Source organism: Homo sapiens, chromosome 1 (assembly GCF_000001405.40).
Source record: "Homo sapiens chromosome 1, GRCh38.p14 Primary Assembly".
In the NCBI taxonomy this organism is placed as follows: domain Eukaryota; kingdom Metazoa; phylum Chordata; class Mammalia; order Primates; family Hominidae; genus Homo; species Homo sapiens.
In genome coordinates, this window is record NC_000001.11 from 247,173,170 (window position 1) to 247,194,926 (window position 21,757).

At 39.0% G+C, this 21,757-nt stretch overlaps 3 pseudogenes, besides 1 other annotated feature; 1 reads left to right on the forward strand and 2 right to left on the reverse strand.

Moving 5' to 3' along the window:
• Nucleotides 2,318-2,612: a silencer, noted in NCBI's record as "tiled region #5824; K562 Repressive DNase matched - State 23:Low". NCBI's record gives its function as "represses a minimal TATA promoter and a strong SV40 promoter by Sharpr-MPRA in K562 cells {active_cell/tissue: K562}" and the evidence as "EXISTENCE:reporter gene assay evidence [ECO:0000049][PMID:27701403]".
• Nucleotides 6,880-7,794, forward strand: VN1R16P (vomeronasal 1 receptor 16 pseudogene; annotated as a pseudogene).
• LOC100131465 (peroxisomal biogenesis factor 5 pseudogene) lies at nucleotides 10,625-12,315 on the reverse strand (annotated as a pseudogene).
• Nucleotides 17,173-17,848, reverse strand: ZNF731P (zinc finger protein 731, pseudogene; annotated as a pseudogene).

The following is a 21,757-nucleotide window of genomic DNA, read 5'->3' on the forward strand; positions in this document are numbered from 1 at the left end:
AGCACAAATCACATGCATGTCTACGTGCACTTCTGTATGGCTCAACACCGTCTAACCAGAAATCCAACTTTACATAAAGGGAAAAGGAAATCAGTACATACAGGGTGCCTTGTGTTTGCCTGGTAAATTGCAATCAACATGTCATTGAATCCTGGCATCCTGTCTGCACTAGGTGTACGTATTACCTATTGCTTCACAGTAAAATTCCCCAAAACGTATTAGATTGAGCTGGTCCACCTTCTAGGCTGGGCTCAAGTGAGCCATTCTTCTGGTCTCTGCTGGGCCCTTTCAGGCACGTGTGGTCAGCTGCTGGTTGACTAGGCAATGCTGCTTCTGAGGGTGAGCTGCCTGTCAACTGTGGCACTTTGGTTTTCCTCCCTATAGTATCTCATCCTCTAGCAGGCTAACATGGACTTGTTATTATGGAGATGACAGGGTTGTGAAATAAAAAGCAGAAGCATTCAAGAGCTTTTGTGCCTCGGCCCCAAACTGGCACATGGTCATATTCACAGCTTTCTACTGCCAGAGCAAATAAGGCCAGTGAGATTCAAGGTTTGGGAAACAGATTCTGCCTCTCAATGAAAGCAGCTATAAAAGCACATCACAAAGGGCATAAATACAGGAAGGGATGAAGAGTTGCTGCCATTTTTGCAATCAGTATCATGCCTTTTCTTGCAGATGAGGTTTATATAACTTTCCAAGACAAGGAAGTTGTGCAAAGCCTCACAGCTACTAAGAGGCTGGGCTGGGACCAGGATTAACTTTTCGTGACTCCAAAGCCCATGCACCTCTGCAAGCCACACGAATCAAGCAGCTTCTCTAAACCTTTGAAGTCCTGGAAAGTAACTCTTCTGCAATAGAAGCAAGAATCCTGTGAGATTGGGATCCATCTAGTACTCTTCACCATTTGGAACAACTGCCTCCAGAGAATGCTTCTGACACATCTTGGAAGAACGTGGAATAACTTGAGGAAATGGTCGATTTGCTAATTTAGGAAACCAATGTTCGATATTACATATTTTTTATTTCTTTTCATAGGATAAATTTAAAAGCACAGATGACGCACTCCACATGAACGCAAATCCTATTCATCCCTTTTTGTTGTTTGTAGGCTATTTATGATTTTCAACAAAGACTAAATCAAACCACTGTGTCTGAAATAACCTCTTACTCTGAAAGCAAGTGACATGAAAATAGACCTGCTGAGAAAAATTTCTTCCTGCTGCAATTTAACGAAACAGCTGACTACAATTTGAAGCCATTCTTTGATTTTTTTTTTTTTTTTTTTTTTTAAGATGGAGTCTCGCTGTGTCATCCAGGCTGGAGTGCAGTGGTGTGATCTCGGCTCACTGCAAGCTCCGCCTCCCGGGTTCACGCCATTCTCCTGCCTCAGCCTCCCGAGTAGCTGGGACTACAGGCGCCGGCCACCATGCCCGGCTAATTTTTTTGTATTTTTAGTAGAGATGGGGTTTCATCGTGTTAGTCAGGATGGTCTCCATCTCCTGACCTCGTGATCAGCCCGCCTCGGCCTCCCAAAGTGCTGGGATTACAGGCGTGAGCCACCGTGCCCGGCCCATCCTTTGATTTTTAACAAGGCAAGCTTGTTTTCCAAGACCTCAAATAGATCATGTGAGTGTCAGGGCTACTATATTGACTCAGAAGGTGGACCATATCCTCTGTTTGGAGATGGAGTGGTGAGAGGGCCTGCACCAGCATGTGAAGACCTTAGGTCCATAGGTGAGATTCAATCATCAGGTGTGGTGTTTTAGGGTCCTGATGTTTATGCAAAAGTTATGTGTATATTACTAAAGGTAAATTGTAGAACATTACAAATAATCATATATAAACCAAAAATGTCAACTACAATTGTCATTATGCATTATTATTCTAAGTATTTTTACCACAATTAGAAGTAGTAGCAGTTGTTGCTGCTGCCGCTGCTGTTGTAGGAATGGAGATGAAAACATGGAATAAAGCTCTGCTGCCTGGTCATTCTGCTGCTCCTACGGCTGCAGATGTGCTAGTTCTGCGCAGACTTTAGACTTCTGTTGTGAAGCTGTAACTTAAGAGACTTTCAGTGCTCTGCTGTGGCAGGAAAAAAGTTTGAGTCAAGACAGAACAACAATTCTGTGAATTTGAAGGTGGAGGGTAGGATGGTTCTGGGGCGCAGTTGAAGGGGAAGAAGTACACATCACTGAATGAAGGAGTGGAAGCCTATGGTGAATGGCAGGGTTTGGCCATGAAGCAAATCAGATTTGGATTTTACGGACGGTCACTCAGTGAAACTGACACACCTGCAAAGCGGGAAATGGAGGACGAATAAACAGGTGATGTGTTCCAGCAGCAGACAGGAGGGCCTTCTAAGAACACACCTGCTCCTTTACCCAGGACCTCTTCCTACAACTCCAGCAGACATTCTCATGTAGAAACCCACAATGTGATTTCATCACATTCTGACTCCACATTCTGACACCACATTCTGACTCCACATTCTGGCTGGTACAGTATCCTTTTCTCCATTCTCTTATCTTCCCCTTCCTCATTTCATTATTGCACATAAAGCATCTGGGGTAGGCACACAAGCATATTGCTATTTTTGTTTGCTTGTTTGTACTAAATGACATGTGTTGATCCGCAGCCAAATGAGACGGGGCAGAAAAATACTGGCCCCGTGAAGACTGTTTCTCCACCAGTGGCTGCTCACTCAGCTCTTATCTCTGTATTTCAGGACTTAAACAACAATAACAAAAAACCATAATACCCTTGCATAGATTGTTCAATTGGTGAATTTCAATGTTTTTAATATAGCATTGTAAAACCAAAAACAATTTCATAACTTTTTTATCTACGTAGTTGTTACACATAGGGCAAATCTGTATATAGGACTATGTATATAGGACTATATATATACGCGTGTGTGTATGTGTATATATATATAGTCCTATATATAGCATATAGCATATATATTTATATATGTATCTATACTATATACATATGTATGCATGTATACTATATACATATGTATGCATATATACATATATACTATATATACACATATATAGTATATATACACTACATATATACTATACACTACATATATACATTACTATATATGCTATATATATACACTATATATATAATATATATAAACCTATGTATATAGGACTAAATGACACTTGAAAGAATGAATCTCAAATACTTTTCCCTTCAAATCCACTGTCTGTTTAAGTATACATTTTGCATATAATGAAAAAATACATAAAAATTAAAATGTAAGGTTTATCTCACTATCCAGTGTATCAGTTGGACCAAAAATGAGGAAAAAGAGGCATCTTGTCTGCAGGAAGTTCTCAATTCTCCTGGGACCCCCGAACCACCTGCGCCCCCCAAGCAGACCCCGTTCTTGGCCTGTTGCCAGTGGCAGTGCATCCTGATGAGGCTTCCACGTCTTGGCCCAGGAGGCACAGGGAGGGTAGGAGGTTGTCTGTCTCACAGCCAGGCCAATATCCCTGACCCAGGACCCTCTGGAAGAAGATTCCCAAGGTCCCCGTCAGCTTTTGGAAGGGTTATGCCATTCTAGAGAAATTATAAATGTTCTTGGGGGTTGACCCATAGGTGAGCTGGGCATCCCTGTGCTCTTGGGAGCTGGAGCAGGCAGGAGGCCCATCCTCCTGGGCACAGCCGCCATGGCTGCAGACCCAGGCATCTCTGCACTCTGGAGGGCTCAGGAAGGTTCCCCCACCCCCACAGGCTTGGAAGTGCTCGCTCCCACTGTCTGGCTTCTCCTCACTCTTGGCATCCACTCCAATCACAGAGAAAAGGGGAGTCTGGGCCCACGCACCTATCAACCCATCACCTAGGTATTAAGCCCAGCATGCATTAGCCATCTCCTCTTTGACTTTTAACATGAAATTCTCATGATCATTTTATGTTATCAATGACCAGTCATAGGTTTTAAAATGCTGGCTGTTACTTGTGTATAATAACAATGACATTTTTATTAATAAAACAAAACACGGGATACTTTTTTTTCAAAGAACACATTAATTGCATGTAAAATTGCTTGTGGATTTGTGTAAATGGTTTTTCATTCTAGTACACTCCTCTTTTCTTCAGAGGTGTCGATTAAGCTCAAGACTTTATAATCAGTCTTTCGTTTCTTGTTCATTCAATGGTAAATTTTTCCCATCATTATTCATAATTATGTAAATACCTGGGACTTACAATATTTAGAATAGTCCGAGGTGAAAGCCAACATAAGGATGAACTTGATCTGCATTATCTGTTTCCTGAGAGGGCTCGGGAGCTTCACCCTCAGCCCCAGCCACCCATGGCTGTCACTTCTCACAGTGAGGGCTGAGATGTGCATTTAGATTGATCAGTTTTTAATGTATCAGGTAGGACCCAATAGTCCTTTGCACTCTGACCCACCTACAGATAAGCTCTCTGATTATGTTCTTCTATATTGTTTCTCCCAGGTCAGTACCATATTATTGTAAATCCTGTGATTCATAGTGAAGTTGCCAGATTCATCAAGTAAAAAATAGGACAGAAAATTAACTTTAAAATTTAAATAAACGACAAATGACTTTTGAGTGCACAAATATGTCTTTGTCAATGATCAGTAGTTAGATTCTGAGAGATAAATTTCCAAAAGGAATAATGAAAATAATATACTTTAGCTGTCAATTCTAATCCACAGTATTGTGATCCTTCCTTGTGCAGTCTCAACACCAATGACCTCAAGAGACTTGTTAGAGAGAGACTCCATCTGATGATTCAGCAGATAAAGTATTTTTCAGCATGTGATTGTTATTTGTAGAGAGAAGGGTGTGAAATACATGGGGTGAACTAAATATATCTTAAGAGAATAAAACATCAGATTTCCTATTTTATCTCTTTCTGTTATATGGCTTCCATGTGTTTTATTAACAAATTTATATGGACATGTAGTTTATAAATAATTGCACATATATTAATAGTCCACATCCAAGTATTCTTTTACTGGAGCTATAATCCCCAAAAGAGAGACCATTAAGCCTTTAAATCAACGATATCCTGGCTCTTTTCCTGGTTTTATCATGACAGCAAAACCAAGTTGTGCTGAGGGTTAAGGTGCGTGTTCATGGAACTGTCAGTTGTTTGGTTCTGGAAGTGTGTTCCTTTACTAAGATTTTGCAGATGTATTAGCAATCATTTCAACATATGAGGTTGAAATGATTGGCTCATACATATGAGGTTGTTTTAGAGAAATTTTCTACCTTAGCCGTTAATTTCTGAGTAAGAGCCAAAAATACTAATTGTCACCATTTCTGCATTGAGATATCTACATCTACCTAATCTATCACCGATAGCTCCGTACATGGGATGGTATTGTGATAAGTGACCTTTAAAATATAATTGGACAGCTGCCATCTCAGAAAAAAACTGAGCGGTGTGGAATGGTTTTCTAATTTTTTGTATCGTTAAGTTGACTTGTTCTAATCACTGGATTAATTTGATAAAACAATTATGCCTGCACCTTGGCCAGTAACATTAGAGAGTAATTTCAAAATTGCTCAGTGAAATTATGCCAGGTGTTCTGATATTACAGATATCCTAATAAAACTAGAGGGAAACTACCTTTATTATTGGAGAAATAAGTGTTTTCAAAGCAAAAGAGGAGATCTCTGTATTAAGTGGAATCTCAAGAAAAGGATCAACATTTGATCCTTTTGATGCGACTTTATGGTTGTCACAAGTGATTACAACTAGTGTTATTCTCTTGACAATTCAGAGCTGGACACTGGGGATCCTCTGTTGAGATGTAGGTAATTTATTTTTGAGATGGAAACTAAACTGAAAGAGAGCCAGAGCCATTTTTATGTGATACAGCTAATAGGGTTTGGTAAGCACAATAATGCCCTCCAAAGGTGTCCATGTTCTAATTCTCAGATACAGCAAATATACATTCCATGGCAATGGGTATGAGAAGTTGCACATGGGATCAAAATTGCTAATTTGTTGGTGAAAAATAAGGATACTATCCTGAATTACTATGGTAGGTTCAAACGTCTAATCATAAAGGTTCAAAATGTGAGAGACGAAGAATTAAAAGCGTTGAAAGATCGGCATGTCAGAAAGACAACTAGATATTATTTTTTTCCATTGTTTTGGTGATTCTTTCCCTATTAGCATAAATTTTATTCAGTTCCACTGTGCACATATGATTGGGTAATTTTATATATTTGTAGCATCGATGTGCTAAATATAAAATAAGAATGCAGAACAAAGATACGATTTCTAAAGAGGGATGCCCAGGTACCATGGGTATCTATACCCAGGAATAGACAGTGCGCATCTTATAAGGGGAAGACTGTGAATGTGTTGGTATTTCATATACTAATTGGTGTAGAAAATGATGCAGAGGCTGGATTATCAAGAATTTATATGAGATAGGGCTTACCAAGATTAAGAGGGCAAAACAATAAAAGTGATTTGTGATAATTTTGACTAATGCAGAATTAACAATGATGAAGTGAGATTTTTGGGGGTTTTTCTGATGTACAAAGCCAATTTCTGGCCAGGTGAAGTAGCTCACACCTGTAATTCTAGTGCTTTTGGAGGCCAAGGCAGGAGAATCACTTTAAAGACAAGCCTGGCAGCATAGCAAGACTCCATCCCCACTACACATTTTTTAACAATTAGCTTCACCTGGAATCCTAGCTGTTTGGGAGACGAAGGCAGGTAGCCACTTGAGCCCAGGGGGCCCAGAACGTAGTGCGTTATTGCACCACCGCACTTCAGCCTGGGTGACAGAGCAAGACCCTGTCTTGAAAAAAAAAAAAGTAAAATATGAAAAATACATAAAGTTCATTATTAAGAACACAATTTTGGTTTATGTAATTACTAAAAAATACCTTCTGTTTTCAAGCTGACATTGCAGTCCCAGTCAACACCTTTCTCCTTTTCTTCTTCATCTTCACACTCCTGGATCACAGGCCGAAGCACACGGACCTGATCACCTGTCACTTGACTTTTGTTCACTCAATGATGCACCCCACTGTAGTGGATTTTTTTCTCTTTAGATGGTGTTTGAGTCACTGAATTTTTGGAAGGACTTCAAATGTCAAGCATTATTCTCCATGAACAGGGTGATGAGGGGTCTGGCCATCACCACCACCTGCCTCCTGAGCATGCTCCAGGCCATCACCATCAGCCCTAGCATCTTGTGGTAGGTGAGACTTAAAAACATAAATTATCTTCCAGTAGTAGCATGATCATCTGCACTGTAGCTTATTTCAGTGTGACCCAGACGAATTCAATTTACCGAGTGTCGGTGACTTCTGCTCACTTTCTCCAATGAGCTCCATCCTCGGGGGACTGATTTTTATTCTAATGTTATTTCAGAATATTTTCTTTTCAGGAATCATGCTGCTGTCCAGTATGTACACGGTCATTCTCTTGTTCAGGCATGAGAGGTGATACCAGAGCCTTCGCAACACCAGCCGCTCCCCAAGAGCCTCCCCAGAGAAAAGGGCCATGCAGACCAGCCTGTGTCTTCTGGTGAGTTGCTCTGTGGTCACATACTCAGTGGACGTTATTACTTCATCCTCCTTAACCATGTGGTGGGTTCATGGCCCAGTCACCCGGGATGTCCAGATGCCTGTGGTCACTCTCTGTGCCACTGTCTGTCCTTTGGTACAAATCATTCCTGACAGAAGAATCATCAATATTCCAAAAAAATATTCTAACAAAGTGCCACCCATTTTTAACAAGGTTGCACTGGGACAAAAATCTTCTGAAGAGAAGTAGATTTTTCTGCCACCAGTTAAACTGTGCAAATGGCACAGAATTTGTTAACTTAAATGCAATGAATTAAATAGCAATTTCATTATATCTAAATAGTTGCTTGATGCTGCCAAAGTCTAATCTTTAGTTCAATGTCCATCAGGGTTTGATATTTCCAAATCAAGTCTCTTACACTTTCTTTTTTTTTGAGATAGAGTCTCGCTCTGTTGCCTGAGCTAGAGTGCAGTGGCATGATCTCGGCTCACTGCAACCTCCGCCTCTTGGGTTCAAGCGATTCTCCTACTTCAGCCTCCCGAGTAGCTGGGATTACAATCACGCACCACCACGCCTGGCTAATTTTTGTATTTTTAGTAGAGACGGGTTTCACTATGTTGGCCAGGCTGGTCTCAATCTCCTGACCTCGTGATCCACCCACCTTGGCCTCCCAAAGTGCTGGGATTACAAGTGTGAGCCACCGCGTCCGGCCACACTTTCATTTTTAATCTTATACATGAAATATTATTTTTCCTTCTTGAAGTACACTTTTAAAAAGCTCCTATTGGTAAACAAATCACTCAGGGTTTTAAAAATATATTTTAATTTACCGTTTTTTGTTAAAGGTATTTTAGCCGAGTATCTACTTCTAGCTTTAATAAATACTTTCTCTTAGCTCCATTCCTATTTATGTTTTGGGTTTTATAAAAGCTGTAGAAATTTTGCTCTCATCTTTGCAACTTACCTCTTTCTCACACTGATTTTTAGTATTTTTCTTCTCTTTGGTGTTATCCAGCTTATTAAAGTAATTTTTTTTTTCACTTTTTGACACACTGCATTTCTGAATTCAAGGATTTATGTTTGGTTTTCAGTTTAGAAACTTACAAACCACCAACTCTTAAAGGCATTATTCAAAAAAAATTTTTTTTTTGAGATGGAGTTTTGCTCTTGTTGCCCAAGCTGGAGTGCAGTGGCGCAATCTTGGCTCACCACGACCTCCACTTCCCAGGTTCAAGCAATTCTCCTGTCTCAGCCTCCCGAGTAGCTGGGATTACAGGCATGCGCCACCACACCTGGCTAATTTTGTATGTTTTAGTAGAGACGGGGTTTCTTCCTGTTGATCAGGCTGGTCTCGAACTCCCGACCTCAGGTGATCTGCCCGCCTCCGCCTCTCAAAGTGCTGGGATTACAGGCGTGAGCCACTGTGCCCAGCCTCAAATTCTTTTAATATATCCCACAAAAAAAGAGATTTGTCCTATTCCTTCTCATTCTAGCATTCTAGTCTTCATAGATATATGTATTTGTTTTATGTTTTCTTTTTTTGAGATGTAGTCTTGGAGTGTCGCCTGGGCTGGAGTGCAATGGTGCAATTTTGGCTCACTACAACCTCCGCCTCACAGGTTCAAGTGATTCTTCTGTCTCAGCCTCTGGAATAGCTGGGATTACAGGCGCCTATCACCATACCCAGCTATTTTTTTGTATTTTTAGTAGAGACAGGGTTTCACTATGATGGCCAGGCTGGTCTGGATCTCCTGACCTCATGATCCGCCCACCTCAGCCTCCCAAAGTGCTGGGATTACAGGCGTGAGCCACCGGGCCTGGCTGTTTTTTTTTTTTTTTTTTTTAACAAATATTTTAGTCTTATTTGTAAATCATTTATACATATTCACACGAAGAAAAATAAATTTCAGAATGGAATCTTGGGACCATTGTAGTTAAAAAAAATATATATATATATATATATTTCTGATCATTAGCCACTTGAAGACAAGGCAAGAGGCTTAGCAGTCATTTCTAGGGGTTAGTGTATCTCCCCATGCAAGGGACAATTGAGAAGAATCCAAGCTGCTCCCTCATCTTCCCTCAATTTTAACCTTCTGGAGACAATATGGGGGAAGGGGATTTTCCAGTGCTTTCCCCTAGAAACATTGCAAGAGGTACAGCCAAGTCTTACGGTAACACTGAACCTGCTCTTTGCTAGCAATTTAGCAAGTTTGCAACCTGTGAACCAACCTACTAGAAGAGTTAGCCTAATTCCTATTCACAGGTACTTCTAAGAGGAGGAGGGATTGCTGCACTCATCACACCCGCTTCCCACTTGCTCTGTTCTCCCACCAAGGCCCCAGAACAGAGCTCTTGATCTCATCTGATCTAGTCCCTCCCCGCTCCCACCCAGCCTCATTTCACAAGTGAACCTTCCTCCCACCCCACACTCAGACAGACACTCTGTAACTGTTGGCCCTGGCAGCTCCTGAGGACTGCTGGGATGATGACACAGCATTTTTGCATCAGCATCGTACTCACAGGGACTCGGAGCTCAGCCAGGAGAGGTCCAAGAATGACGGAACTCTAGAACCCCTACCAAAACTCAGCTCTGCAGAGCCAAATAAACAATTCAACCCAACAGGCCAACTCCTAACATCCCATCCCAGACAGTCATCACTGGAGGCGCGCAGTAGATGAACCTCCTACTTGCACTGAACCATTACCAATTCCCAGTAACAGTGGGGGAAAGGACAGACATGACAAATGTGGTAGACCCTATCAGAAATGGTAGCTGATGACAACAGTTAGCCTAGATCACTGGGTCCTATCCAAAAAGAACGGGCATGATGAGCAGAGGGCTCTGTAGCTGGATGTACAGCCCTTAAATTACTAAGGGACTCAGAGAAAACAAGCCTTGTTTTCCTACGATTATCTAGGAACTGGAACACGGACTACCCACCCCTATGTTGAGGCAGCTTCTGACAGGCCTTACTGCTTACGGTCATCGGTCATCAGCCCACCCGCTTGGTAGGTGCATTTGGGGGGAGGGACTCACATCACATCCAGAGGGGGGACCCATCTAGGCGGACACCACAGGGCAGCCCATCCCACTGTCACTGGGGCAGGCCAAACACGGTTAGCAGGGCGGACTGATTCCAGCCATCAGCCGCCCTACAGGCGTCGCTCTGGCCTAACACAGAATGCGAAATGCAGGGTGCTCCAAGTGTTCTCCGACATGGCACCTCCTTCACCCCGAGGGCCCCGGCTTTTCTTCCACATGTTCAGGGCCTCCAGAAAGTGCTCTGCAGCCTCCCAGTGAGCCCCAGGTTATAGCCTCCCAGTGAGCCCTGCAGCTGATGCCCAGGTTATAGCGGGACTGGATATAGCCAGGCTGGAGCTCAAGGGCCTGGCAGTATGAAGTTACTGCTTCTTCACTCTGGTTTTCCTTCCACAGCAAATAGTCATTGGGATGAACACTGAAGGTAGCTGTGAAGCAGTTCATGGCCTTGTCGTATTCTCCACTCAGGTTGAAAAGGACCTGCAAGCCACACTGCACATCAGGGTCCATGGATGTAGGGTCCAGTTGCACAGTTGCTAGGAAGAGCTCTTTCATTTCAAGAAACAGGGAGTCAGACAACAGAGATCCCAAGATATGCTTGCTGGCGCCCAGTCCTGCCCCGCCAGCCCCTTCTTCAGCAGGTGTCACCAGATAGCCACAGGCTGGTGTGTGGCAGGGTTTCACAGGCCTGTCACTGCAGAGGCTCATTGGTAAAGCCTGCAGCCGGGGCCATCAGTGCTTATCTGGCTTTAGCTCCAGACACCTCTGCAATGCTCTGATGGCTCACAGTTCTTGTTCATTCTCTGCCTGGTTGGTACCCAGATACGGCCAAGCTTCCATGTGCTTAGGATCCTGCTGCATAGCTGCCTCAAAAAGCAGCACAGCATTTGGGAGGGCCCTCTCCTGAAGTCGCTGCAGCCCTTCTTTGAAAGGCTGAGGGTGATCACGCAGGGGGTTCTCCTCCTCCAACGGGTACCCCTTATCATAGGAAGCTGATGCGAGGTCATCATAGCCAGAAAGCCAGGGGTGAGTGTCAGCATCCCGTTTTGCCTTCTCCTCCAACTCTGTCTGCAACTCTACAGCTGACTTGGCGCGTTCAAACTCCCTATCAAGGGCAGCTGTGTTTACTCGTCTTGTGAATGGTCAACCCAGGCATCTGATGTACACTCACAATTAGCCAGTTTGGGGTCATCCCCTTTGGCCACAAAGTCACTGGCCATGTGCTGCACATCCTCCTCAAGATGACATTCATCGTCCAACGACCGGTGGCTGCTGCTCCCTTAGGCTCTCCCAACCACAGTTTCTCCCAATTGCTCCAAATATTCCTCAGCCCAGCAGGTGGGGGAAATGGCCAAGGGGTCTGTAACTTCAGAAATGAATGATTGGGACCAGTCTGTCTCATTATAATCCTGAATTACATCCACAGCATCTCCAGCTGCAAGTCACTCTGGGCCCAGTTCTCAGACAAGGCCAAGTCGGCCACACCAGGGGCTCTCTGGGGAGCCTGGAGGAAGTTTGACTCTTCAGTCTGCTGCATCTCAGCCAGGAGTTCATCCATCTTGAAGGTCTGAGGGGCACGGGATACAAGGGTACACTGTGGTCCTGCAGGAATTCACCCACCAATTCATCTTCAGAAGCTACTCCCAAAGGCTTGGAGACTGCCTCAGAGGCTGGGGCTCGGAGGCGGGGCAGGGGTCAGGCGTCAGGCCTTAGTGCCTTCTGCTGGGGTCGGCGGGTGTTTTCTCTTTTTACTGTATTTAACTACATTAATCGTGCTCAGTATTTCGGTTCACTAATCTCATCAGCTGAGACTAATTTAATATTTAACCCGTATGTTGTATATTAAGTAGGTTGATTCTACTTCCAACTGTTTGTATTTGCCTCTTTTTCAAATATGGCTTGTCAAGCTTGTAGTCATTTGCTCTTTAACATTTTTTTTCCTATTTTTCTCATTGTGTTGACTTAAACATTTAAAAAATAAGTCCTATAACTGTGTGTAACATACGTTTTAATTTTCTATTCACTTATGGGAGACATTACATTTGAGACATCTGCAGTTTATGTCTTTGTTTTTTAAATTTGCCTTATGGCAAGTTGGGCCACCCACACGGATCTGGCAACTCTGATCGCCCATATCTAAGAGGAGCACTTAGTTCTCAGTTGATTATTTTCATAAGTGGTTTCTTTGGTTTGCTTCTCTAGTTGGAAAATTATATTTTACTTTCACTTTCAACGCTATACAGTCCTTTAAAGATTCTTGTAACTTTCTGAGAATTTTAGCTTTCTACATTTAAAATGTGTAGAATCTAGTTTTCCAACAAGCACAAATGTCAAGTGTACACATGAAATACATTTTACACAATTTTTTGTAACAGACAAGAAATCTCGTCACTTTATTTAGAACATATCCTTTCCTCAATATACTGTAAAGTAATAATTTGTAGAGTTTAACTTTAATACTAGGGAACTGATTTTACATTTTGCATAAGTTTCTGAGATAAATGTACTCTACTTCAGAGAACAGTACCTATATATGGCCAAAACTACTTATTTTCTACACCACTGAGAAAATATTGGCAGAATTGGCTAGGCGCGGTGGCTCACGCCTGTAATCCCAACACTTTGGGAGGCCGAGGCGGGCGAATCACGAGGTCAGGGGATCGAGACCATCCTGGCTAGTACGGTGAAACCCCGTCTCTACTAAAAATACAAAAAATTAGCTGGGCGTGGTGGCGGGCGCCTGTAGTCCCAGCTACTCAGGAGGCTGAGGCAGGAGAATGGCGTGAACCCGGGAGGAGCTTGCAAGTGAGTGGAGATCGTGCCACTGCACTCCAGCAACAGAGCGAGACTCCATCTCAAAAAAAAAAAAAGAAAATATTGGCAGAATTACTTACCTGAATTCAGATTTTTGGCTTCAATCACCATGCTTCCTCATTAGCACTTCCCTGAATCCATAAAAGAATCTCTTTGAGTCTTCCATTTGAACCACAGATTAAAAAATTTCAATGCAATTTTCATGTGGTGAGATAGTACTTGCTGGTAACATTTTAGTATATAATTTCTATTGTTATTTACAATGTTCAGAAAATATGACCTGCTGGGTTTCTGGGGTAATAAACTCAATGACGTATTTTAGGCCTAAGACTTTACCACCTAAAATACTTATATCTAATATTTGAAAATAATGCGCATCCTTTGTTTACTGGCAAAAATAGCTGCCGTTTGTTCCTATGCGTAATTACTATAACTTCCTAACAAAGTTAACATTATTTATGTTCATTTAGTTGTGGGGCACCAAAAAGTTAATTTCCATAATGATCTTAATGTTACCTAGTATGAATGAAAATGTGACAGAGGCTAGGAGATGGGGTGAATAAAAAGAGGGGAAATGTTCTTCAAAGTGTACCAAGTTTCACTTAGGAGAAATAAGATTTAGTGATCAATTGCACAGAATGGTGACTACAATGTGTATTTCAAAACTGCTATAAAGACTATTTTCCATGTTTTCACCACAAAAATTATATGAGGTTATAAACATTAACTTGATTTAATCATTTTACAACATAAACATATATCAAAATATTACACTGTAGACAGATATATACAACTATTATTTTTCAATTAAAAATAGAATTTTTTTAAAATTTAATTTTTCTTTTTCAATGAATCTTTGATTTCTTCACTTTAAACTCTTAGGTATTAAGCATACAAATGTTTAATGGCTTAGAATAGTTACCTAACACATTATATGAGCCAAATACTAACTACTCCTCCAAACTATCTTTTTTCATAGCATTCTTCAAATACAAGATTATTCTGTATATCTTATTAAAATTTATTTGTCTGCCTTATCTAAATATTGATAAAAATAGAAGGTAGGGGCATTTGCCTGCTTCATACATTCCAAAATCAAAGGGCAGTTTTACTAATTATTTTTACATTCAGTAACTCATTTGTCTCACACAGTAAACACAAATATTACGTAACAGAACTATATTCATATTCTTCATCCTAAAAATGGAAAAAATTTTGAGTTATTTATTGATTGTAGTACGGGACTCATTCTCTATTTTTTCAAATTATTCCATGTCAAGTGCCTAGAATAATTGTTCATGACATACTATGAAATAAAAAATACCGATAGAGATGGATTACAAAAGTAAACTGAAAAAACATCCTATGAATTGTTTCATTATATATATAATAGAATATACTTATATCCATAGAACAAAAAAATTATATCTTTTTAGATAGAATAGCTGTTATAAACTGCTTAAGTTGTACATTTCATCAACACTTAATGAAAAACATCAATTTCTCACAAAAACTTCAAGCAGTAGAAGAGGTAACATTTCTTAATTCATCTATTAGCCAATAATACCCAAAGGAGACAAAAGAATCACAAGATGATTACGAAACAACATCCTATTTAAATTTAGACACAGAAATTCTCAGAAATATTTAAAAAAAGAATACAAAAAGGTATAAGGATGATTACATACCATGACTAAGCAGGGTATTTTCACAATGCAATGTTCATTTAATATGATACAATATTACTTGAACAAAGTAAAAATGTAATACTTGAAATAGAAAAAGTTTGGTAAATTCAACACCTATGAATGATAGAACACCAAGAAAACTATTAGAAGAAAACTTTTGAGACCTGCTAAAAGTCCTCCATGAAAAACCAAAATTGGCCCGGCGCAGTGGCTCACACCTGTAACCCAGAACTTTGGGAGGCTGAGGTGGAAAGACTGCATAAAGCCAGGAGTTCAAGACCATTCTGGACAATATAGGGAATCCCCATCTTTACAAAATATTAAAAAAAAAATTATCTGGGCATGGTGGTGCATGCCTATTGTCCCAACTACTCAGGCAGTTAAGGTGGGAGGATCACTTGAGCTTAAGAGGTTGAGGCTGCAGTGAGCCAAGATGAAAAACTCCACACCAAAAGCTAATATACTTAATGGTGAATGACTAGGGGCTTTATCTGCAAGTTTGAAAACAGGACGAGAATTTCTACTTATACCACTATTCACCATTGTACTGGAGGTATGAGCCAGAAAATTACACTAGAAAAATCAATACAATCTCCAGATTAGAAAAGAAGTGGAATAGTCTTTTATTGCCATAATGTTGTATTTTAAAAGTATAAGAAATTCATTAAAAACCTACTTGAGGCTGGGCATGGTGACTCACGCCTGTAATCCCAGCACTTTGGGAGGTCGAGGCGGGCAGATAACAAGGTCAGGAGATCGAGACCATCCTGGCTAATATGGTGAAACCCTGTCTCTACTAAAAATACAAAAAATTAGCCGGGCACAGTGGCAGGCGCCTGTAGTCCCAGCTACTCGGGAGGTTGAGGCAGGAGAATGGCGTGAACCCAGGAGGCAGAGCTTGTAGTGAGCCGAGATCCGGCCACTGCACTCCAGCCTGGGTGACAGAGTGAGACTCTGTCTCAAAAAAAAATAATAATAAAATAAAATAAAATAAAGTAATAAATAAATAAAAACCTACTTGAGCTAATATAGAAGTTCATCAATGCCACAAGATCAACATACAAGGTTAGATAGTACTTTTATATTATAGGAATAAACAAAATAAGAATTAAATTAAAATTTCATTAATAGTATCCTAGAAAAAAAAATTAGAAATGAACTTAACAAAATAACTGCACATACTATACACTGAAAATTATTTAAAATGCTGAAAGAAATCAAAGAGCTGAATAAACTGAGATATACTCAATATTCAAATATAGCAATACTGAATATGAAGATCAAAATACCCAACAAATTTATCTACAGATTCAATGCAAATTCCAATGTAGCTTTTCTTTAATATAAATTGACAAGCTCTTCCTAAAATCCATATAAACATATAAAGAAAATCAAACACACAAGAATTCTGAAAAATAACAAAATTCAGTAACTTACACTCCTGATATAAATTCTTACTACAATGTTACAGTAATTAAACAATATAGTACTGGCATAAGGACAGATTTATGTAGACCAAAAAAAAAAAAAAAAAACCACAGAATTAAAGTTCCATTAATGAACAAATTAATCTGTGGTAAAATTATTTTTTTCTGTGAAAGGTGTTGTGACAGTCATTATATTTATAATTCTTTAGTTCAATATGAACTCTGGTCCTGAGTAAGACATGAGCAGGTATTAAAGGCTTTGCCACATTTTTTACATTTGTAGGATTTTTCTCAGGTATGAATTTTCTCAGGTACATTGAGGTCTGAGCAGTGGTTAAAGGTTTTGCCACATTCTTCAGATTTGTAGCATTTCTCTCTTGTATGAATTCTCTTATGGTTTGAAAGGCTTGAACAAGATATAAAGACTTTACCACATTCTTCACATTTATAGGGCTTCTCTCCAGTATGAATTCTTTTATGTTCAGTAAGGTGTGAGCACCGGTTAAAAGCTTTGCCACATTCTTCACATTTGTAGGGTTTCTCTCCAGTATGAATTCTCTTATGTTTAGTGAGGTTTGAACACTGGTTAAAAGCTTTGCCACATTCATCACATTTGTAGGGTTTCTCTCCAGTATGAATTCTTTTATGTAGAGTTAGGTATGAGAACCAGTTAAAGGCTTTGCCACATTCTTCACATTTATGGGGTTTCTGTCCAGTGTGAATTTTCTTATGTTTGGCATGGTTTGAACTGTGGTTAAAAGCTTTGCCACATTCTTCACATTTATAGAGTTTCTTTCCAGTATGAATTATAATGTGATTAGAAAGGCTTGTGAAGGATTTAAAGACTTTTCCACATTCTTTACATTTGTAATGTTTCTCTTCATTATGAATTGTCTCATGTTCAAGAAAGCATGAGCAGTGCCTAAAGGCTTTCCCACATTGTTTACACTTGTAGGATTTCTCTGCAGTGTGGATTCTCTGAAGTGGAGTTAGAACTGAGGATATGTAAAAGGAATTGTCACATTCTTTACAGTTGGAAGATATCTCTCCAGTATGTCTTATCTTATGTCTATTTAGATTTGACGATTTACTAAAGACTTTCACACATTTATTAAATTGAAAGATTTTGGTATGTGTAGTTGATAAAGATTGGTTAAGTCCATTACAACATTCTTTCTGCACCTTAGATTCACCCACACTTTCCCAATCTTTCTTTAATTGTAAATTCTCAATGCCATAGCTTCCATATCTTCTCAGTATCACTTTTTGAAATGAATCTTTTATACCATGCTCTGGCAAGAGGTCTTGGGTGAAATGAGAAGAAACAGCTGAAAAAAATTAAAATAACATATTATCCAACTTACTGGACTTAGATGAATATAATTTAAAAAGCTAATATATGAAATTATACCAAACACATTAGCGAGATAGCATAATAAAATACTACAGGCCCTGATTTTTTGATGAACATAATATAACAAAAATATACTGAACAAAATGCCTTTGTGAGAACTCTAGAAACCATATTAAAAGCCATAGACAAGGGGAAGGAAAGCTTGTTACATTTACCCACCACAACTCTTTCTTCTCCTAAACACAGCATAATGACTTCAGGAATAAACTCCCAACTCCTAGCTTCTCCTTCAATAGAGACAGTAGTGGCACATATGCCCATACTTTTGATGGAATTTCCAAAGACTAGTTTCTGTCTCCCATGACACAAAGTGCTGAAAGGAATAGTGGTAGAATAGAACCAACCTTTAATTCAAAGGTTGGTTCTGCTGAGACCAAAGGTAAATAATTGTTATAGCAGCAGAGAGGCTGCAGTACTACAGACAGACAACAGATTTAGCAAATAATTGATTAGAGAAGAAGAAAGAAAGAAGAAACAAGGGTAAACCTCTTTAACTGGAAATTAAACACAAAATTCCAGAGAACATACATCCTGAGAATAGGTTTGAGAGGCTCATGGAAACCCTAGCCCAAGTCACTTGGTATCAGATTATCCAGGACAAAGCCATTTTATAAAGATTTTGACAGATGGCTTTTAGTGCCCAAATCTCAACCAAAGATTGCAACATATACATTAGGGTAACATGGCTCAATCAAAAAAAAAATAAATAAATAAATAAATAAATAAATAAATAAATAAATAAATATCCAGAAATCAACCCTAAAGAAATGGAGATGTATAAGTTACCTGAAAAATCTGAGATAACCATTTGAATAATGCCCAATGAGTAAAACAGGAAAACAGACATGAAATTAAGAAAATGAGAAACCCTGACAAATTCTCAAATGTAAAAAAAAAAAATTAAGAAGCTCAACACATTTCAAATAGGATAAACACAAACAGACACATAACAAGATACATTATAAGCAGTTTCAAAAAATTACAGATGAGAAGAGAATCTCAAAAACAGAAAGGGAAAAGCAATGTGTCATCTATAAGCATGCTTCTATGAGATTACCAGAGCATAGTTGTTTCATATACCATCATTCTAGTACTATAGAATTTTATTTTTGTGTATGTGATCACGGGGCACACAGAGAAAATAGGAAACCTGCCCTACTTGAAGAAACAAATCTCCAGAAACTGACCCTTAAAAAAGGGAGATTTTTGCATTTTTTTGACAAAGAATTTAAAGTAATCATCTTAAACATGTTCAATGACCAAAAGTAGAACACATATAGATAACTCTACAAAATCAGGTTGGGCATGGTGACAAGAGCATTATGGTTTACATAAAGTAAAATACTCTCCTTGTTGTTCATTTAAAAATAAATCCTGGCTATGTACAGAAGCTCACACCTGGAATTCCAGCATTTTGGAAGGCTGAGGTGGGAGAACTGCTTGAGACCGAGTTCAAGACCAGCTTGAGTAACACGGTGAGACTGTCTCTACAATTTTTTTTTTTAAATTAGCCAGGCATGGTGGTATATGCCTATAGTCCCAGCTACTTAGAAGGCTGAGGTGGAAGGATCACTTGAGCTGAGGAGTTTGAAGCTACAGTGAGCTATGATCATACCGCTACACACCACCAGCCTGGATGAGAGAGTGAAACCCTGTTTATAAAAAAAAAAAAAACAAAAAAAAAAAAACAGAAAACCATGCATGAGGAAAATAATACATCAACAAAGAGATTTTAAAAAAAAAAAACCTATAAAAAAGAACCCAACTAAGCTTGGTGTGGTGGCTCACGCCTGTAATCCCAGCACTTTGGGAGGTTGAGGCAGGTGAATTACGAGGTCAGGAGGTCGAGACCAGCCTGGCCAACATGGTGAAACCCCGTCTCTACTAAAAATACAAAAAATTAGCCGGGCGTAATGGCGGGTACCTGTAATCTCAGCTACTCAGGAGGATGAGGCAGGAGAATTGCTTGAACCTGGGATGCAGAGGTTGCAGTGAGCCAAGATCACTCCACTGCACTCCAGCCTGGGCAACAGAGCAAGACTCTGCCCCCAACAAAAAAAAAAAAAAAAAAAAAAAAAAAAAACCCAACTAAAATTGTTGAGCTGGAAAATACACTGTGTTGAAAAATTAACTGAAGAGCCAAAACAGCAGACTTAATGAGGCAGAAAAAACATCAGCAAATTGAAGACATATCATTTATAAATATTGAGTTGTGGAAGCAAAATTTTAAAAATGGAAAACAATGAAGATGGAATATTGGACTTAATAGAAACCATTCAGTAGACCAATATATCCATAAAAAGAGACTTAGAAGATATAGGTGAAAAGCGGTAAGTTATTTAAAAAAAAAAAAAGGGGAGGGGGGCTGAGAACTTCTAAACTTTCAATGAGATAAAACCAAAATATTACTAAGGATACTTGATGTAAAAAAAATTTACTTTCAAAAATAAGTGAAAAATAGACTTCCAAGATAAACAAAAGCTGAGAATGTTTGCTGCTACTAGTACAGTCCTACAAGAAATGATAAAAGCAGTCCATTATGTTGAACAATAAAATGATGCTGGAGAACATCATAAATTCATATGAAAATATAAAGCTGTTAAAGGTAAATATATACACAGATATAGACTTGTCCAATGTTACATAAAACCAAAAACTCTGCAGAATGTGAAAAACAACGTAAATCTCTGTAAATCTATTAATAAATGCACAATATAAAATGATATAATTTTTGACATTAATATCAAATGGGGGGATATAAAGATAAATAGTTCTTATACTCAATTGTAGGGAAGTTATGAGATAGATTATTAGAACTTTAAGAAGTTTTATGAACTGTCCATTTCTCAAGGTGATCACAAAGAAAGTACTTATAGAAGTAATGCAAAAGAAAATGAGAAAAGAATCAGAGCATGTCACTGCACAGTCAACAAAACAAAAAGACAGGCAGTGAGAGAGGTGAGAAAGGAAATGAGGGACAACATATCTACAAGGAACAGAAAACAATTACAAACAAGATGGTAATAGTACTGCCATTTCCTTTAGGAATTATTTTAAATATAAATGGATTAAATTCCTTAATGAAAAGAAAATGGCTGAATAGATTAAGAACAAACAAGATTCTAAAATATGCTGTATACAACAGACTCAACTGTAGCTCTAAAGGAGTCAAACAGGCTGAAAGTAAAGAATGAAAAAAATATGTCCCATGAAAATAGTAACCACAATTGGGTGGTGTGGCCACAATTATATTACACAAGATACATTTTAAATTAAAAACTGTCACACAAGACAAAGATTGATATAATGGTAAAATAGGCCTATTTACCAAAAATCTTTAACAGTTTTATATACACACACTCCACACACAAGCATACATATATATGTATATATAGTATATGTGTGTGTGTGTGTGTGTGTGTATATATATCTATATCTATATCTATATATATATATATGAAGCAATATTTGCTGCCACATATATGAAGCGAATATGGACAGAAATGAGCTGAGATATACACAGCAATACAATTGTAAACTTCAAGATTCCACTTTCAATAATGAATAGAAAAATCACATAGAAGATCAGTAAGAAAACAGAAAATTTAAGGATTATAAACTAATTAGACCCAACAGACATGTACAGAATTCTCCAGGAAAAACAGCAGAATACGCAATATTCTCAATTGCATATTCATTCTGTTAGGACACATAACAACTGACCAAATTTAAGAAGACTGAAATCAAACAATGTATTTTTTTCTAACCAAATCCAAAATATGTAGAAATTAAACACACTGTTGAACACATTCTTGCTCAAGGGTCA